A 19997-nucleotide genomic window follows, 5' to 3' on the forward strand; every position below is an offset into this window, starting at 1 on the left:
GCAAGAATACCATTAAAATGGTGTATGTCCTTATATCAAAGAGCTCACTACGTTAATGTGTCTTGTTACTAATGATGTTAACCTGATCATGTGGCTAACTTGGTACCTACCAGGTTTCTCCACTATAAATGGACTAATATAATATATACTGTTTGGTGCCTTCTTTCTCAATAAATTTTTTAGATTCATTCATCCATAATGTTGCGTGTATTGTTTGTTCTTTTTTATTGCTGTAAAGTGTTCCATTGTGTGACTATACCAGCACCTCTCTCACCTCCAGGACAGGTGAGGAACATCAGCTATCTTTCTCTCCATTGCCTACAACAGTATTTGCATTGGTACCACTGAGTACAATTATATGGTGCACAACTAGTGCAGCTACACATGGCAAGCTGAAGTCCAAGGACTGCCTGAATCACAATGCAAGTTCTCAGATTTCTTTACCCCCAGAGAATTGATTCTATTGCACGCCGTCATTTGGGAAACTCAGGGTGAAGTACACACTCTAGCATGGCAGCATGGTTAAGTGGTTAATGAACATGAGCCCTGAAGTCTGGCTCTGGGTTCAAATCTTGTTGCCACTCATGAGCTAGGTGACCTTGACCAAGTTACTTCCTCTCTGTGACTGTTCCATCAGTAAAATAGGTTTAGTGATGATAGTACCTGTGCCATAGGCTACTCCAAGGATTAAATTTAATTTAATTTAAAAAAAGCCTTGGCCATGTGCAGTGGTTCATGCCTGTAATCCCAGCATTTTGGGAGGCCAAGGCAGGCGGATCACCCAAGGTCAGGAGTTTGAGACCAGCCTGGCCAACATGGTGAAACCCCATCTCTACTAAAAATACAAAAATAGCTGGACGTGGTGGCAGGCACCTGTAATCCTAGCTACTCAGGAGGCTGAGGCAGGAGAATCGCTTGAACCTGGGAGGTGGAGTTTGCAGTGAGCCGAGATTGCGCCATTGCACTCCAGCCTGGGCGACAGAACAAGATTCCATCTCAAAAAGAAAGAAAGAAAGCATTTAGCATGGTGTCTGGCATAGAATAAACACTCAACATGTTAATAGTGTTATTGTTAATAAACATCATTGTTGGCCAGGCACGGTGGCTCATGGCTATAATCCCAGCACTTTGGGAGGCCAAGGCAGGCGGATCACCTGAGGTCAGCAATTCGAGACCAACCTGACCAACATGGAGAAATCCCATCTCTACTAAAAATACAAAATTAGCCGGGCGTGGTGGCGCATGCCTATAATCCCAGCTACTCGGGAGTCTGAGGCAGGAGAATCACTTGAACCTGGGAGGCGGAGGTTGCAGTGAGCCGAGATTGCACCATTTTACTTCAGCCTGGGCAACAAGAGTAAAACTCCATCTCAAAAATAAATAAATAAATAAATAAACATAATTATTTTTATGGATTATTTATTTCTTGTTATTAATATTATAATACTACTCATTAGCTTTGCAGCCTCCATCTCTGAGGGCATGGTTTGAATGAGCGTGTATCCCTAAGAGCTGCCAGCAAACGGAAGAAGAGTTCCTGCACCTCTTGGTGCCTGAATGGTCCAGGGTCACCAACAAATAATAATACTCACAGCATGGGTTGTTCGTCAGGATTCTACAGAGACATAGAACCATTTGTGTGTGTGTGTGTGTGTGTGTGTGTGTGTGTGTGTGTTTTGTATGCATGTGTGGAGAGAGGAGGAGAGAGAGAGAGAGAGGGGCTTATTTTAAGGAATTGGCTTATGTGACCGTGGAGGCTGGCAGAACTCCCTCTTCCTGCAGGGAGTCAGTCTTTTTTCTTTGAAGGCCTTCAACTGATTGGATGAGGCCCACCCACATTATGGAGGGCAATCTGCTTTCATCAAAGTCCACTGATATAACTGTTACTCTCACCTAAAAGAAATTACCTTCACAACATCTAGACTAGTGTTTGACCAAATATTTGGATGCCGTGGCCTAGCCAAGCTGACATATAACATTAACAATCACAGAGGGCTACAGTTTGTGGTCCCCCTTCACATACAGAGGTTGACAACTCGAAAGCCCTACAGCAGTCAGTGCAGATAAAAATGGGGGGGTGGGCTCACCAGGCGGACTTGCCTTGGGGCGTAGGGGGACTTGGGCTGCCTGGCAGTCCCTGCATCGAGTCATGGTGGCCCATGCTTGGACCTAGGCCAAGACATATCAGGACTGCCAGACAGTATTATTTCAAATAATGCCAAAATCTGAATTTCTACGTGGAAGTTTCTATTTCTTTAATACTGGCAACTAGTTAAATGTTTTTAATTGTGTGCAGGACAAATGCACAAACCCAAGGGAAAGACGTGCCCTTGGGCAGCCCATTTGCGATCATGACCTACGCGATCTTACTAAATCTGTCAGCTTCCTTGTTTAAGGTATTCACAGAGCTTCTAGTCATAAAAATTGTAGTTTTGTAGGGGCGTTAGTGAGTTCTTTGAAAGCAGGATTTCTCTGCAGATCCGGAGCAGTGCTTCCCACTCTTTAGCATGGATCAGAATCCCGGGAGGGCTGTGAAACAGCCACCACACCTCACCCTCATTTCTGATTCAGTGGGTAGGGGTGAGCACAGAAAATCTGCTTTTCTAACAAGCTCCCAGGAGGTACTGATGTTGCTGGTCCAGGGACCAGGCTTTAAGAACTTCTGGTCTAGAGGGGAAAAAAGAACACGGGTGGACAGCAAGGAGAAGACATGGTGACAAGACAGGGCAGATCCTGCAGGAGGAGGAGCCGGGGGTATTGCTTTGGATTCACCACCATCCTCAGTCCTGTCTGCCTCCTTTTCTAACATCCTGATCTTCACATCTCCACCAGGATAGTGAGCTCTGTAGTAGAGGCATCTTCTATAAGATGCTTTACCCATGAAGGACACTCTGAGGCCCGAGGGGCCTGAGAATGAGTCTTCTTATTTCATCTTTGTGAAAGATGATATGGATAATGGTGATGGTTACACAACCATATGAGTGTGCTTAATGCCACTGAATTCCACACTTAAAAATGGTTAAAGTGGGGCCAGGCACGGTGGCTCACACCTGTAATCCCACTTCGGGAAGCTGAGGCAGGTGGATTGCTTGAGCCCAGGAGTTTGAGACCAGCCTGGGCAACATAATGAGACTTCATCTCTACAAAAAAAAATACAAGAGTTAGCTGGGTGTGGTGATGCATACCTGTGGTCCTGACTACTCAGGAGGCTGAGGCGGGTGGAGGCTGCAGTGAGCCGTGATGGTGCCACTGCACTCCAGCCTGGGTGACAGAGAGAGACCCTGGCTCAAAACAAAACAAAAAGGTTAAAATGGTGAATTTTATGTTATGTGTATTTTACTACAATAAAATATATGTTCTATGCTTAGAGATATGTATATTTGTAAAGCCCTGGAGTAGACCCAAATCAGCAGCATAGATGCCGAGGGACCGACAGGATTTGCGCTGGGAATGTGCCAGAAGGAAGAAACCCTTGAGCTCACCTAGCCATTCTGCAGATGAGCTGACTGAGGTCCAGGGCGGTCACCTTTGCTGTCAGGACTGGAACCTCAGGTGCGTCCTCACTGAGCATCTGAGGACATTGCCAGGTACCTGTTCATAAGAACCCTCCAGAAAGGGCTGAATAGTGCTCCCTTCCCAAACACAAGGGATATGTTCATGTTCTAAAGCCCAGAACCTGTGAGTGTGACCCTATTTGCAAAACAAGGACTCTGCAGATATAATTCAGTGAAGGGTGCCAGGATGAGATCATCTTGGATTATCCAGGTGGGCCCTAAATCTAGCAATAAATGTCCTCATTAGAGATACGCAGAGGAGAGACTCATAAGTGAGAGGAGAGAGGGCTTGGGAAGATGGAGGCAGAGAACAGACTGATGCAGCCACAAGCCAAGGAGCACCCGGGGCCACTAGAAGCCGGAAGAGAAAAGGGGAGATCCTCCCCGGAGCTTGTGGAGGGGCACGGCCTACCTGACACCTTGACATTGGACTTCTGGCCCCCAGAGCCATGAGAGGATGAATTTCTGTGTTGTTGGCCACACGGTTTGTGGTGGTTTGTCACAGCAGTACTGGAAAACAAATGACCTCCATAAATGGCTGAAAACTGAAGGGAGGAGAAGGGGAAGGTGCTGGTGGAGATGGCAAGTACTGTGGAAATAGACTCATCCTGTCTGGGCTTCTCAAACCAAAGCTGGCCTCTCCAACAATGGCAAGATAGTCACTGTATTCTCAGGGTGTCATCTTGACACTCCTCCAAACTCTTGCCCCCAAGTCACTTGACTCGACCTCCAAATGGCTCGCTGGAAAGCCGGCTGGGAGCAGAACTCTTACCTCCAAGCAGCTGCCCCATATATACCACCCCAGGCCCCTAAGAGGCTGAAGCTGAAATCCCCAACCCACCCTTGGTGGGCTCTGTGACGCCCATAGGAAAAAGAGTGGAAAATCCTACAGAATTCCTGTGCGATCACAGTAGGGTGAAGTCCTGCCTCCACTGGCCCACCCAACCCAAATGGAAGTCAAGTGATGGCAGTAAGGGACACCCCAGCTCCCCTGCAGGAAACAGGATTTGCCCTGCTGAAATGCGTGGCCCTGCCCTGCCCAGCTGGGGTCTAACAGAGGCTTCCCTCCAAGGCCGAGAGTCAGAAGTCCAGCACTGCTCTCTGCCGCTCTTGGCTGCGGTGCCAGCAGGTCTCCCCAGCATCCTGCCGGTCTCTGCCCTCCTCCAGGCACAAACCAGGGTCTCCACAGCTAAGCCAACGTGGGATTGGTCTTCTCCAGGCTAATCCAGCTGAACCACCCCCTCTGAATTAGAAAGGGCCCCAGGCCCCACGTCTAATTGGACACTCACAATGACCAGAAAATCAGGAAGAATGAACCCCAAAGTGCTCACAAATGCCCCATTCTCCGCTCCCCAAGGAGGCCCTGTCCACAAACAAATGGGCAAGCAACAGGCCCTTTCCCCAACCTCCTGGTGGGATGATGCCCTGGCGACGCCACACATTCTTTCTTGCCCAGACGCGGTTACCTCATGTGCCCAGCATTTCCTATGAAGAGGAAAAAGCCATCCCAAGCCCATCTCAGGAAACATGATCTCTGGCCAGAGAGGCAACAGTCTGAGAGGACCAGGCTCCTGCCACATTGTCCCCAGAAGGCAAGGGAAACCCTGGGCTCTAAATCCACAGCCCCCACCTGAAAACAAAAATCAAAACCCCACTGATTTTGAAAAGAATTTCCTATCCCCAGAGTTTCTCTCTTTCTTTGATTCTTTACACTTTAACCAAATATCTTTTGCATTTATTATTTGACTGGGAGACACATGCCTCCCAGGGAAGCACCCACCAATATCCAGCCTCCTGGCCTGTGCCCCAGTCAGTGCCATCCACACCCTTAGCCAGCCAGCAAGGGGGCAAACAGATCCCCCAGGCATGGACTTGAAGCTGCAGCCTGCGGTGTGAGATGTGGTTCTTGGATCAGAGAAAGCCACAGATGTACCCAAGACAGGCATCTCATCTCCTCCTCCTGTCACTTGTCTCAGCCTGTCAGTGGCTCGTCATGAAGGGGGTCAGGAGGGGGCCCTGAAGCCACGCTGTCTCCCACCTGGATGGTCCCATGAGCAGCTGGAGTCCCTAAATCCAGCATCCTAGTGGTCTCCAGGCTCTGCAGCCATTTGTCTTTGGTCCAAGTTAGAAATGAGTTTGAGATACTACAGCACTGGTAGCAGAACTCTTATTTTTTAATTTTTATTTTTTGTTTTGAGACAGGGTCTCACTCTGCAGTGGTGCAATCATAGCTCACTGTAGCCTGGAACTCCTGGACTCAAGTGATCCTCCTGCTTCAGCCTCCCAAGTAGCTGGGACTACAGGTGTGCACCACCACACCTGGCTAATAGTGGACTTAAAAGCACTAGTATTTGCATCTCCTCTTAGCCCATCCGCCCCACTATCTCTACCCTTCTCTGGGCAATAAGCTTGGAGGGATCCCGTGTGGTGGCCCTGGGCTCCGGCCCTGGCTCAGTCACGGCAGCTGTGCAGGCAGGCCTAGCTCACGGGTCCAAATGGCGGCCCATGTGCCATATGTCTGAGTATTTAAACACTATAAATCAAGCAAACAAACTGTTCAATAAAATATGTTCCATGCTCCTACTTTGACATATATGACCCATGAGGCTGGATTTGAGTTCAGGATTCTAGGGCTCTGCACGGTTCTACTCCAGAGTGTGGCAGTCTAAGAAGAGTTCACCCTGGCCATGGCCTGGCCTCTTACCTGTCCCACAACAATTCTGTCTGGCATTGCAGGGGGTCTTGTGTGCATGCACACAGATACTCAGCCTGAAATCCAAGTCCCATCCACATGTCCACGAAGAGCTACCACTTGATAGCTCCTGCACCTACCTGCTCTAGTCTCAGGTCACTTTTGGGGGGACACACCTAGAAACAAGACCAACATGGGTCCTGGGAGGAGGCTCCTAACCATTTGGGCAGAAAATCCAGGGTTGGGCTGGGCATGGTGGCTCCTGACTATAATCCCAGAACTTTGTGAGGCCAAGGCGGGAGGACTACTTTAGCCCAGGAGTTCCAGACCAGCCTGGGCAACATAACGGGACATTATCTCTATAAAAAAATTTTTTTTAAATTAGCTGGGCATGGTGGCATGTGCCTGTGGTCCCAGCTACTCAGGAGGTTGAAGTGGGAGGATCACTTGAGCCCAGGAGGTCAAGGCTGAAGTGAGCTATGATCACACCACTGCACTCCAGCGCACGCAACAGAACAAGACTGTATCTTAAAAAAAAAAAAAAAAAAATTCCAGGGCCCCAGGTACATGAAATATGGCCCAGAAGGTCTCAGGCCCTGAGTAGACATGATCCCACAGCAACCAGACTCCTCAGTCTGTGGGGAGGGGCAAGGCCAGAGGAGGGCCAGAGAAGGGCCCTCTACAGTACTGGGTGCGGGGTAGGGCCCCCTACTTGTGAGGGTCTAGGGCTGTATTGGTATGACCTTGGGATGCTCTCAGTGTGTGAGTCTGCTCAGGCTGCCGTCACAAACATCACGGACTGGGTGGCTTAAACAGAAATGTATTCTCATCTGGAGGCTGGAAGTTCAAGATCAAGTTGTCAGCAGGGCTGGTTTATCCTACACCTTTGGCTTGCCTTCTTACTGTCTTCATGGCCTTTTCTCTGTGCATATGAACTTCTGCTCTTTTCCTCTTCTTCTAAGGACACTAATCATATCAGATTAGGGCCCCACCCTTATGATCTATGACTCATTTAACCTTAATTACTTCTTTAAAGACCCTACCTCTAAATATAGCCACATTTGGGGGTGAGGGCTCCAGCATACATATTCTGGGGGAGACACAATTCATTCCATAGCACTCAACCTCTCTAAGCCTCAATTGCCTCATCTGTAAAAAGGAGATGATAATAAGGCTTGCTCCATGAAGATGGTGTAAAGATTAATTGGAATAAAGCAACTAAAATGCCCAGCCCAGTGTCTGAAACATAGTAAGTTAAGTAAGCACTGCTGTGTAACAAATGACTCCAAGGCTTAGTGATCCAAGACAACCCCCATTCTACTATCTCTCACAATTTTATGGATTGGGAATCTGGGCAGGGCTGGGTTGGGCAACTGTTCTGCTCCTCATGGCTCTAGGACAGTCCCTTTGTGTCTAGAAGGTAAGTTGGCTGGTTTGAAGGAGCTTCACTTACATGTCTGGTGCATTGGTGGGGACAGCTGGAAGGCTGATCTTAGCTGGGATATTGATCAGAGTACCCACACGTGGCCTCTTCAGGATGACCAGCCCAGGGTAGTCAAACTTCTTACAAAGGTCAAAGCTCCCAGAGCAGGAGTCCCAGCAGTGGAAGTGGAAGCTGCCAGACACAGACACCTAAGGCCTGGCCCAGAAACTAGTATGGCAGCACTTCCACCATTTTCTACTGGCCAAGTGCCCACAGAGCCTCTCCAAATTCAGCAAGAAGGGACACAGACCCCACATCCCAACAAGAAGAGTAGCAAAGAATGTGTGGCCATCTTTAACCTACCACAGCATCCAGGAAGTATTAACTATTGTCATTTTTCAAACATGGAAGGTAAAAAATGGGAGGCCACAAGAGTGGTGGGGTCCTTGGTGGTCTTTGACACCCGGAATAGAAAAGGGTGAGTTTTTGGTACTTTTAATGTTCAGAGCCTCTCCCCTCTCTCATGACTCCACTACCTTACCCATCTCACGTCCAGTTTCAGGGACCCTTGCATCACACGAGTTAAACTTCAGCTTAAAGTTCCTGTTGAGTGCGGTGCCTGTCAAGAGCTGTTGGTGGGAGACACATGGGCTTTCAGAGATGCCCCGCCCTCCCTCATGAAGCTCGCATCCAGCCCAGGGAATAGGAAGATAAGCAGTGCTGTGCTGGTAGCCAGCTTTCTGGGGGATGGGAGGACCCCGACTTGTAACATTTGCTGATTTCCCTGGCATAAGTAAACCAGGACTGATTTCAAACTGCCAAAATGACTTCGATGAACCCAGAGTTGAGAAGAGATTCCCAAAACTGGCTCTTGCAAGCTGATGCGTGCTTGTTCCAAAGATGGAAACAAGGCAGGGTCTGGTGAATGCCAAGCATAAACTGCAGGAAAGAGTGGGTCCAGTTGGGGGTAGGATGACGGGGAGGAGGCATTCGGGATGAGGCTTGGAGAATGGGTAGAAATTACTGAAGGAGGACATTCCAAGCAGGAGGAACAGCATTAAAAAAGATCTAAAGGGGGCCAGGTGCGGTGGCTCACGCCTGTAATCCCAGCACTTTGGGAGGCCAACACGGGCGGATCACGAGGTCAGGAGATTGAGACCATCCTGGCTAACACGGTGAAATCTTGTCTCTACTAAAAATACAAAAAATTGGCCGGGCGTGGTGGCAGGCGCCTGTAGTCCCAGCTACTTGGGAGGCTGAGGCAGGAGAATTGCTTGAACCCGGGAGGCAGAGGTTGTAGTGAACCGAGATTGCACCACTGCACTCCAGCCTGGGCAACAGAGCAAGACTCCATCTCAAAAAAAAAAAAAAAAAAAGAAAAGAAAAGAAAAGAAAAGAAAAGAAAAGAAAAAAGACCCAGAGGCAGGAAAACCCAAGGTATACCAAAGAACATCGAGGGGCAGGGTTTGTAGTGGACAGCACATGAAGGATGGTTAAAGATCTGGGTAGAAAGCCAGGTGCCGTGGCTCATGCCTGTAATCCCAGCGCTGTGGGAGGCCAAGGCAAGCAAATCACTTGAGGCCAGGAGTTCTAGACCAGACTGGCCAACATGGCAAAACCCAGGTCTACTAAAAATACAAAAAATCAGCTGGGCATCGTGGCGGGCACCTGTAATCTCAGCTACTCAGGAGGCTGAGGCAGGAGAATCACTTGAACCAAGAGGCAGAGGTTGCAGTGAGCTGAGATCTTGCCACTGCACTCCAGCCTGGGCGACAGAGGGGGAAAAAAAAAGATCTTGCTGGAAAAGGTGAGGTGGGCTCTAATGATGAAGGGACTTGAGAGCAAAGCTGGGGGGTTAACATGGTTAAAAGAAAAACTTTAGACACATTTAACAAAGTTTAATTGAGCAAGGAAGAATTCTTGAATTGGGCAGCCCCCAAACCAGAATAGGTTCAGAGAGACTCCAGTGCTGCTACGTGGTCAGAGAGGATTTATGGACAGAAAAAAGAAAGCTGCAGCCAGAAGAAGGAAATGTGGTACAGAAACAGCCGGACCGGTTACAACTGGGAGTTTGTCTTACTTAACAGTTGGCCACTTGTGATTGGTTGAAGCTGGGTGATTGGCACAAGAGTAGGTTACAGTCTGTTTACACATCCAGCTAGGTTACAGTTCACTGTGTCTGGAGAAACCTTTAGGCCTAACTTACAAGATGCAGCTTTAGGCCAAACCTAAAAAACATTTACTACGGAGGGCGTCAGAAGGCTTTTGAGCAGGGATTGACATGATCTGGAAGGTGCATTGGAAGTGGGGTGAACTTGGAAAGTGGGACCCCCTGAAAGGAGACAAGGAGGTGGGACTGCCGATGGAGCAGAGGAGAGTGGGCCCAGCTGCATAGATTGGCTCTACCGTGGAGATGTCAAAGGTGTGGGCTGCGAGGCTGAAAGCCAGGATAGGGGATGATTTGCTCGGAGGAGCTGTTCTCCAGGGAAATCAGAAATCTTCATGGTCAAGTCTTGAAAAGTTTTGGTCTCCAGACAAAGGTTTCCAGTGGCAGCTCCTGGGGAGAATCTGGAAGCTAGGGACTTCCCCAAGGCCTTCTTTCCAGTAAGCAGCCCCCTGCAGCCACCGCACAGACCCCCTCAGGCCTCAGGTCCCTCTTGGGCCCGTCTCCACTGTGACAAGGGGAAGCCAGGACAGGGAAAGCTCACGGTGAGTTTGAACTTGAGATGCCTGGGGCTGGCAGATCAGTGCTTTGTTCCTCTGTCCTGTAGTATTCCACCAACCCCCTGGCACTGTCCTGAATGACACGTGTGTTCCTTACACACGTGCCATGCTCTACAGCCCATCTAGTGCGTCGGGAGGCAGCATCCCATTTAATCCATGCACATCCTGTCTGAGAGTCGCTATTTATAAGCCCATTTCATAGGTGAAGGAGCTGAGGCCCAAAGAGGTGAGAGACTTCAACAGGCAGTATGTGGCAGAACGAGGGCTCACAGGGCCTAACGCTTGCGCCTTGGAAGGTTCAGCCTGTCTGGGGACACAAAACTTGCACTCACGAAATAACTGGAGGGAAATAACTGGAGGGAAATAAAGAAGAGCTCTTTCTGGGGTCTTTTCCAACTCAACAACCCTGACGACCCCGGCTCTAGAAAAGTCCCTTGGGGAACCCTGCCAGGACAACCTGTTTCATCTCTAAGTGTTTATTACACAAACATATCTCTTATCCTTGATCCAAATGAAATCACCGCCATTCATATGTAACCAGGATATAACTGGGCCATGCTGGGGCCCATCTAAACACAGTGGCCTTTGAATAAACACAGACCTCTCCCAAAGCCCTGAAAACCTTTTTTTTTCTCAAGTCTCTTGAGCAGGCAAACATAGGAGGAGAGGAAAGAGTTGGGGGTCGGGAGCCATGTGCCAAACCCAACGCTGCCCACTGCAAACTTCTTACAGAGTCCTTCTGTCCGTCTCTGTCTCCAAAGCCCACGCCACAGGGCAGGGGCTCACCCAGCCCTCCCTCTCACCCTCAAACTCTCCGCCCTGCCAGCGTCCTGTCTCACTCCCCCTTCTCCCTCCTCCCCCTCCTACAAGCCCTCTTCCAGAGGTTTCCCTTCTGAGAGCAGCTCTAGAGGCTTTATTTTGAAAATCAAGGTAGCCCATTACCCCAGTTAGCACAACGAAGGGCTGGGTTAGGAAGTGGGTGCCTCCTCCAGAGGCCAAGGGAGAGGGGAAGTGTTTGTGGAAGTCCCTTCTTTTACCAGGTGTGGTGAAAAAGATGCTGAGCGGCAGCTAAGGGTACCTGGACTTAGCTCAGTCATTAAGTGTGCGACCTTGAGTAGGTGATTTCACCCTTGGACCTAAGAATAGAAACTGGGTATAGTGGCTCCTCCCTGAGGAGAGTACAGGGAAGAGAGACGCAGTGAACTTTGAACCCACTAGGTTTGGAGATGAAGAGTGGTTCCTGCCAATGGCACAGCCTTCATCTGATCATAAGGAAACAGACAGACCTGAACTTGAGAGCATTTCCTGAAACAATGGGTCCTTTAAAATGCCAGGGCCATGAAGGACAAAGGAAAAAGACCAAGAGACAAGACAGTGGAGGGCAGGGTGTAATCCGGGATCAAATCCTTGACGTGGGGAGGGAGTTTCTATAAGGGACTGTACATCAGATAGTAGCTATGAGTCAGTGTTCTATCTCTTGAATTTGATAAATTGCACCGCAGGTGTGTAAGAAGATGTCTTCATGTTTAGGAGATAGATGCTGAAATATTTAACGATAAAGGGGCAGGAGGTCTCCAACTTTCTAAAGTGTTTCAGAAATTAATAACAGTTTGCGTATATATATGTGAATACGTGTATATACACACATATATAAGAGAGAGAGGCAAATGTTACAAGTTGGGAAACCTGGATGATTTTTGTCTCATTTTTATAAGTTTTTTTCTAAGTGTGAAAGTATTTCAAAACAAAAAGTTAAAAAATAAAAATTGAAAAAAGCAGCGATACATAAGCGCTCTGAGTTTTATGAATTTTAATCAATTAAAGAAGCTTGTTGTTACTCCATTCAGTCATTCATTCAACAAATATTGGCTGAGCTCCTACACTGTGTGGGACACTGTGCTAGGTGTCAGGATGCAGCGAACAAAAGGCCCGGCCTAGCGACCAGACCAAGGTTGGGTCTGCAGTGCATTCCAGGGGCCTCCCCATAACCCCCAACCCCTCCCGCTTTGAGACCCAGGCTCTCCTTGCCCTAGAGGCCAGGCTGTCCCTGCTGCCAGGGGGCCCTTCCTGAGAACTGCCCTCACCTGAAGAGACCCACTTTGACCAAGCTTATGTCCCCTCCTGGCATCCAATGTCTGGTCATTTGGGCCCCCTTGCCTGGACTGGAATAACTCCAAAGACTATCCCAGCTTCAGATCTCCCACAGGGCCAGCTCCAGCCCTCATGGTGACAACATCGCAGTTCAACTCCTCCCTCTGCCCAAGAGCACTGTCCGAAAACTTCCTGCATATAACCTCTGTCTCAGAGTTTGTGTCCGAGGAACATGGTCATTACAGAGTCCCAACAGGAAACAAATGTCACAATCAAATTAAGAGAATTCCAGATGACTTATTAAAAGGACTGTTTACAAAGGTATGGGCAGGGTGTATAAGACCACCAAGAAAAATGCAGTGACCTGGGGCTAGGAACAATTAAGCCTTTACCAAAGGAGATAGCTACGTGGAAAAGGCAACCGTTGGCGGAGTAAGGTCCTTCAGCTGAGACTCAACCAGCCCGAGATGACCCAGCAGAGACGGAGCCACAGGAATAAGCAAATGCCTTTCCTCACTCTCCTCGTCCCCTTCCTGCTACTCCTGCCCGGGCCCCCCATTGGCCACACCCAGCCGGAAGTCTGAAGAAGGATGAGGGTGGCTCTGGTGGCGGACGGAAGACCTCAGTACAGAGTCCCATACAGCACCCGAGCTTGACCCCTCTGGGAGTGTCTGATGAAAGCTCTGGACTCTCCCCAGGAAATGGATCATAAATACACACACACAATTTTACACTTAATTTTAAGGAATTCATGGCTGCTCTCCCAGGAAGCCCAGGCACCCGAGATTAAACACCACAGTGCTATGAAGTGGTAGAAGCAGAGGCACAAAACACGAGTGATTGAAGAAGGGAAGAGAAAAGCAGAAAGAAAGGGAGGGGCACTGATGTCCTCATCTTACAGAGCTGGGAATCAGCGACTGCTGTCAGAAGAGGAAATGCTCATGCAGGAGTCAAAAATAGTCATGAAAGTTCAGACATTGGGAGTAGTGAGCTAAATGCTCATCTTAGGTATTGGGGAGTGAATAGCTGTTGTCTAAAGATGGTAACTGAGGAACGGAGGTATAAGTATGTGATTTGGAGTGTGGAGAAAATCCATAAACAGCAACTGGCAAAAGATGCTGTCTTGGGGGAGTAGGACTGGGAGTGAACAGGGGCAAGTACAGCAGGAGAGACACGATTGCTTTTCATTGTAAGCCTTTCTGATGTAACTGAGTTGTTGCCACTATATAACACACACACACACACACGCACACACATATGTGTCTGTGTGTGTATATATATAACTTTGATAAGTATAATTTTTGTAAAGAAACCTTTCCCTATTAGGATCTTCCAGCACGTCTAACCTCACAAGGCCTCAGAGCCAGTTCAACACACATACCCTTCCAGCAGACTGGCCTGTGCCCACCTGCAGAGCAGAAGTGGCCCTGCTTCAGCCACCTATTTCTGAGTCACAAAATACTCTGAAACTTGGTGACTCAAAACGACAAAAATGTATCATTTCTCTCCATTCTGTGGGTTGACCGGGTGTTTCCTTTGCTTTGCCTAGTGTTAGCTGGGACCCTGGGATGGCTGGAAGGTTACAGAATTGCCTCACTCACATGGCTCCACCGGGCTACTGGCTGGGGATCTGCGGAGCTGTTGACTGGCAGCCTTGGTTCCTCTGTGTGGGCCTCTCCACTTGGCTGCCTGGGCTTCCTCACAGAATGGCAGTGAGGGTCCAAGAAGGAGCCATTAAAGAAGTAAAGGCAGAAGCTGAAAATGACTGAAACCATTATACTTATATAGCATCACTTGCACTGCATTCTACTCATTAAAAGAAGTCAAAGGTCACCTCAGGTCCAAGAGCAGGGAATTAGATTCAATCTCTGAATGATAGCAGTGGCAGAAACAGGAATGCTTCATGGCAGAGGGAAAATACTCCACAGGATGCTCCCATTGCTCCAACAATTCTGCCACCAGCCACACCTCCACGGACTGCCTGCTGGAGACTTCCCATCCAAACTTGTGCTTCTGCACACGTCCCAGCCCTCTCAGATGCATCCTCTCTCTCAGTCTTCTCTGTCCCGTGCAACCCATGGTTCTAGATTGACATGGTCACCTTGGCTTTCGGTGTTTTTATTGTTATCTTAACCTTCATCAGATTTTATTATTTATTTATTTTTTTAAATTTATAATCATCTTCTTGGAGAATGATTCACCAAATTTTAAAATCCCAGACAATATAAACTAAGTCTTCCAAAATACTCTGTATATCCTACTGAACATCATTTCCATCCCTCCCACTGAGAATTATAGTGAACAGATGCAATCAATGTTTAAATTATGTATCTATGAATATGTAATTTATATATCCATACTTACAAGGCTGCCACATTGCATAACTCCAGGGAGGCACTTTTATGTTATAGGCTATGCAAATGGTGTCCCCTGGAGGTATGCAGTACGCAGCTCATACAACTGAACATGGCCTTCCTGGATATGGGTGCTTGGTAAGAGCATATCTTTTATTCGACCTCTCTAGTGCATACTCATTTTAGGGCAGTGGCTCTCAATCTGCACATTATAATCACCTGGGCAGGCCACACTGCCAAGCACTAAAATCTGAATCACCTCGCGGTGGGACCCAGGCATTGGCGTATTTAAAGTTCCCTAGGTGATTTTAACATGTAGTCAAGGTTTAGAACCAGTACTCTCAGGGGATGCGTACAGAATCCTTGAAAAGGGTTTTGTCTTTGGTAAAAGTGTAAAAATAATTGGCATTCATGTATAGAAAAAAAATAGAAAGTTGCAGGAAACTCTAAAAAACAAAATAAAACAAAACCAGTTCCATGCACTGAAGAAAATCCCTGTTGGGGTTTTTCTTTCTTTTCTCCATGAATATCCTTTGCCCCCTGCAGTCACACAGTGCAGAAAGCTTTGCTGGGCTTCACCCTGCCTCTCACTTCAGGTGGAAGGTGGAGAGGGATCATGGGGCTGTTGTTGGTGAACTTTGCTTTTCCCTCTGGCCTTAGGCCAAAAATGTGAGACTTTTTTGTTTGCAGAGATTGTCCTGTTCATCCCTTAAACAACCTTTCCTGGCCCAACGGACACTGTAGGACTTAGCTGGGTCAATGTCATGGTCTATACCTTCTGTGGCCTAAGCTGGCTCCAGACATTGGAGAGAGAATTGTATTAGCCTTGCTGGGCCTCGGCCCTGCCTTCTCCATGGGACATCTCCAGTGCAGGACCCTGGCTGATGGCCAGGCCTCTGCACATCCATTCTGTCATTATCCGGAGCAACCGCCCGCACCTCAGCCCCAAGTCTCCCACCTCATTTTGTTGGGTCCCTTGTTCCTGACCGGATACCTAGTCTGGTTCTCCTCTTCCTCTCCTAGGAACTTGCTTGCTCCTTTGGGAACTCTGAGCCTCAGACCTGGCAGAGCAGGAGTGTTACCCACTGGCAACATCCAGCTGGCCCCATCGCTGACCACCTACGACCTTTGGGACGTTTGGCTCCTTATCTTGACCCTGGGCTTGACCTGCTATTGCTGCACCATCAGAGAGAACCTTCCTCAGCAGCCAGCCCCGGAGTTCCTCTACTCCCACCTCCACCCTGGCTCTGGCCCCGCCTTCTGTGATGTGAGGGATTCATGAGTGCATTTGCTCTCTCCACAAATGTTTACTGACAGCCAATTATGCACCAGGCACGGCGCTTGGTGCCCACATTAGAAGAGGTTCCTCCCTCCTGGAGCAGACAGCGAATACACTGTCCCTGAGAGGGGTGTTACCAGGTGATAGGACCCTGCCTGGGATTTGGCGACCACTTCCCAGAGGAAAAGGGGCTGGGAGCCAAGACATGCAGGATGATGAGTAGCTGATGGGGTAAGGGAGCAAAAGCCTTCCAGAGAGAGGGAATGGCACATCCAAGGGTCTGTGCGGAGGCTGGAGGGAGGCCATCGTGGTGGGGTCTCTCCAAGCCAGAGAGTAGAACCAGGTGAGGCTGTGAGGTGGGCCGGGCCAGAGCACTAGATCCTGTGGGCCAAGCAAGATCTTAGTTGGCCTTCCAAGACCCTTCCACGGTTTCTAGGCAAGAGAGTGACACAATCAGACACACCCACTGATCAAACTATCCAGCTACAGATGCAGGAGACACCATTAAACACTCCCCTTGTATCATCTGTGGAAGGAGACAGACACTGGGAATGTGATTTGCCTGCCAGGATGGGAACTGGGTCACCCACTGAGGGGCAAGAGAAGAAGAAAGACTCCAGTGTGTGTATGTTCGTACACCTTCTTTGCCAGGCATGGTGGCTCACTTCTGTAATTCCACTGCTTTGGGAGGCTGAGATGGGAGGATTGCTTGAGGCCAGGAGTTCAAAACTAGCCTGGGCAACATAGTGAGACCCCACCTCTAAAAAAATAGAAAACAATTAGCTGAGTGCATTGGCACACATCTGTAGTCCTAGGTACTCAGGAGGCTGAAGTAAGAGGATCACTTGAGCCCAGGAGTTCAAGGCTGCAGTGAACTATGATTGAGCCACTGCACTCCAGCCTAGAGGACAGAGTGAGACCCATCTCTAAAAAGGACACACATGCACACAAATAGAATAAAAATTATGATTAATCTTGTCCCTTCAAAAAAGCTTGACTTTGCTATGGTTTGAAGGTTTGTCTCCTTTGAAATTCATCTTAAAACTTAATTCCTAATATGGCAGCATTGAGAGGTGGGGCCTTTAAAAAGGGACTGGATCATGAGGGCCATTCGTGTATTAATAGGTTCTTGGGTTATCATGGCGGTCGGTCATTAAAAAGCCAGCTTGACTCTTGCTCCTACCTCTGCCACAAGATCCCCTGCAGCACCTCAGGACTCTGCAGAAGAAGGCCACCAGCAAGAAGACCCTCACCAGATGCAGCTCCTCAGCCTTGAACTTCCCAGTTCCAGAACTGTAAGAAATAAATTTCATTTCTTTACAAATTACCCAGTCTCAGATATTCAGTTATAGCAACAGAAAACTGACTAATACAAGCCCGAATCTCTTCCTGAAGAGCAATTAGTCAAATCCAAATTGAGGCACGGTCTGTCAAACAAATGACTGAATGCTTTGAAATATCAGGGTCATGAAAGACAAGACAGGCCCAAAGGTGGCTCCAGGTGAGAGGAGCTTGAGCGGAGGCACAATGGAGGGAGGCGGGTCTTGACTGGATAAAAAGGGACATGGACATGACAAGGACAACTTGCAACATTTGGACATGGGCCATGTAAAGAGACCAGGCTTGTATCTACATTAAATTCATTGAGGGTGGTCATGGTTTCATTCTTATGTGAGAAAATGCTCACTATCTTAGAAAAGACATGTGGAAATATCTGGATAAAATCTCAAGATATCTCCGCAACTATTCTCAAATATAGAAAGAAACAAAAAGGCCTGGTGCAGTGGCTCACATGTGTCATCCCAGTGCTTTGGGAAGCCAAGACAGGGCGATTGCTTGAGGCCAGGAGTTTGAGACCAGCATAGGCAACATAGTGAGACCCCATCTCTATAAAGAATAAAAAAATTAGCCAGCTGTGGTAGTGCACATCTGTAGTCCCGGCTACTCAGGAGCCTGAGGCAGGAGGATCGCTTGAGCCAGGAGTTCAAGGTTGCAGTGAGCTATGATCATGCCACCATACTCCAGCCTGGGAAACAGTGAGACCCTATCTCTAAAAATATAAATAAATAAAAAGAGAGGGAAATGATAAAAAAGGAAAGAAAGAAGGTGGGGTAGGGAGAGAAAGAGAAAGAAGAAAGGAAATTAAAAAAGAAAGAGAAGAAAAGTGATAGGGGAGAGGAGAGAAGGGAAGGAAAGATACTGATTTTTTTTTTGACCAATGAATATGTTTATATAGAGATATAGCAAATGTGGCAAAATATTAACTGCTGGTAAATTTCATAGTTATTATTCTTGCAAGTTTTCTATGGCTTAAAATTTTTCAAGATGAAAAGTCTGGGAAAATTAAGATGAACATAAAATAAAAACACTTTTTAAACAATTGTTTATGATTGGAAAAAAAGAATCTGACTGTTGACAGATTCCAGGACCACGGCAACTCTTCATATTTTAAGAATAAACAAATCTCTCCCATTTAGCCTGGTGGCTGGGTGATCTATCCCCACCCCTACGGATGACAGGATGTAAAAATCACTTACTTTGGACTCCACGAAATGGGTGAAACACCCCACTGTGAAGACGCTGGGGGAGCTACGTATTCAGAGGACTCTCGGTTCTTTTCAAGCATATAGACATTTCCAACAGTGTAATGTCCTGACCTTTCTCACATGCCAAGCTAAAGTCATTTTTCTTTGAATAAGCTGAGATTTAGAAAAAGAAAACAATGATCCAGGTGGCCTTTAAAGAGTGAATGTTATAAAGAGCATTTCCCGCACTGGGGCTGGGGGCTAGGGTGAGGGCTGGCGGTCTGGATCACATGGGTTCCAATGGCGCTGCTCCCATCACGTGCAGCAGCAGCCGGCCTCACCCGGGAATCAGAGCCTGGACTGGCCACTGTGTTGCCTTTACTCTTAGAACTGGAGATAATGAAAACTAGAACTCATTACATCTGTAGGTGCCCGACATCGAGTGTGCCATGTGGGCATGGGTCTCGGGAAAGGAGCATTTTGACGGTGCTCCTAAGAACCCAAAGGAAGACAGTGGCCCAGGGAGTGGTGTTCTGGTTGGCTGATAGGGCCTGCAGTGGGTGTGCACGCAGCCATGGCTTCCAGGGGAGCCATGAGATGCAATGAGAATGGGGGACACTGACAATGCTCTTGATCCCACCCTCTCAGGCCACCCGACTGCTCTTAGTGCTGCCGGAGCATCTGAGACACGTGCAGGTTCTGGTTTCTGATGACAGCATCCCTAGGGAGCCAAGAGTTCAGGCTCTGGAGTTGAGAGCTGGTTCAAATTCTACACTTGTTACCTGCAGACTGGGACTTGGGAAGGCTGAACCTCTCCAAGCCTGTCTTCCTCAACCCTGAGATGGGGTAGAAGGAGGAGTGCGCTGATGATTAAACGAGACGAAGCCTCTTACTCTTATACATGGTGCAGATCGGAGCCCCCAGCGGGTGCCCCACAGGTGGTAGCCCAGCCAGGAAGCTGACCAGGGCAGCAACCTGGAAATATGACAAGATGGAGCAAATCACACTCCCCAGAGATTGGAAGGAGCACTTTGTCCAACTGTGGGGATGAAGACGGGGCGGAGCAGTACCAAGCATCACTAGGCTGCCTTCTGGGGAGAGAAGGACTCTGTAACTGGAGGGCCTTTCCTTTTCTGAGTAGAGTTTCCAAGTTTGGATTCTGAACTGAACCACCTGAGAAGATAATGCTGAGGCAAAGGCGCATCCAGCCGTTTCACTCCTCTCCGCCTCCCTTCTAAATACCATCAGGCGCTGCATACACTATGGTGGTCCCATAAGATGACCATGGAGCTGAAAAATTCCTGCCAAGGAAGTTGAGGCTGCAGTCAGCCATGTTTGCATCCCTGCACTCCAGC

At 48.3% G+C, this 19997-nt stretch overlaps 1 long non-coding RNA gene across 5 annotated transcripts in view; it reads right to left on the bottom strand.

Moving 5' to 3' along the window:
* Positions 1-1405: 1405 nt before the first annotated feature.
* The window catches only part of LOC107985440 (uncharacterized), a 36616-nt gene continuing 18024 nt past the window's right edge, over positions 1406-19997 (bottom strand). Inside the window, exons 1-5 of one of the 5 annotated variants that reach the window (XR_001754512.1) lie at positions 19425-19949; positions 18655-18816; positions 17301-17410; positions 14086-14178; positions 3292-4064 (exon numbers count right to left, since the gene is read on the bottom strand). This is a non-coding gene — a long non-coding RNA (uncharacterized LOC107985440). Of the gene's footprint in view, positions 4065-14085; positions 14179-17300; positions 17411-18654; positions 18817-19424; positions 19950-19997 lie in introns of those variants that run through there. The other 4 variants (XR_001754508.1, XR_001754509.1, XR_001754511.2 and 1 more) reach the window with 4 other exon arrangements.

Source organism: Homo sapiens, chromosome 20 (assembly GCF_000001405.40).
Source record: "Homo sapiens chromosome 20, GRCh38.p14 Primary Assembly".
NCBI lineage: Eukaryota > Metazoa > Chordata > Mammalia > Primates > Hominidae > Homo > Homo sapiens.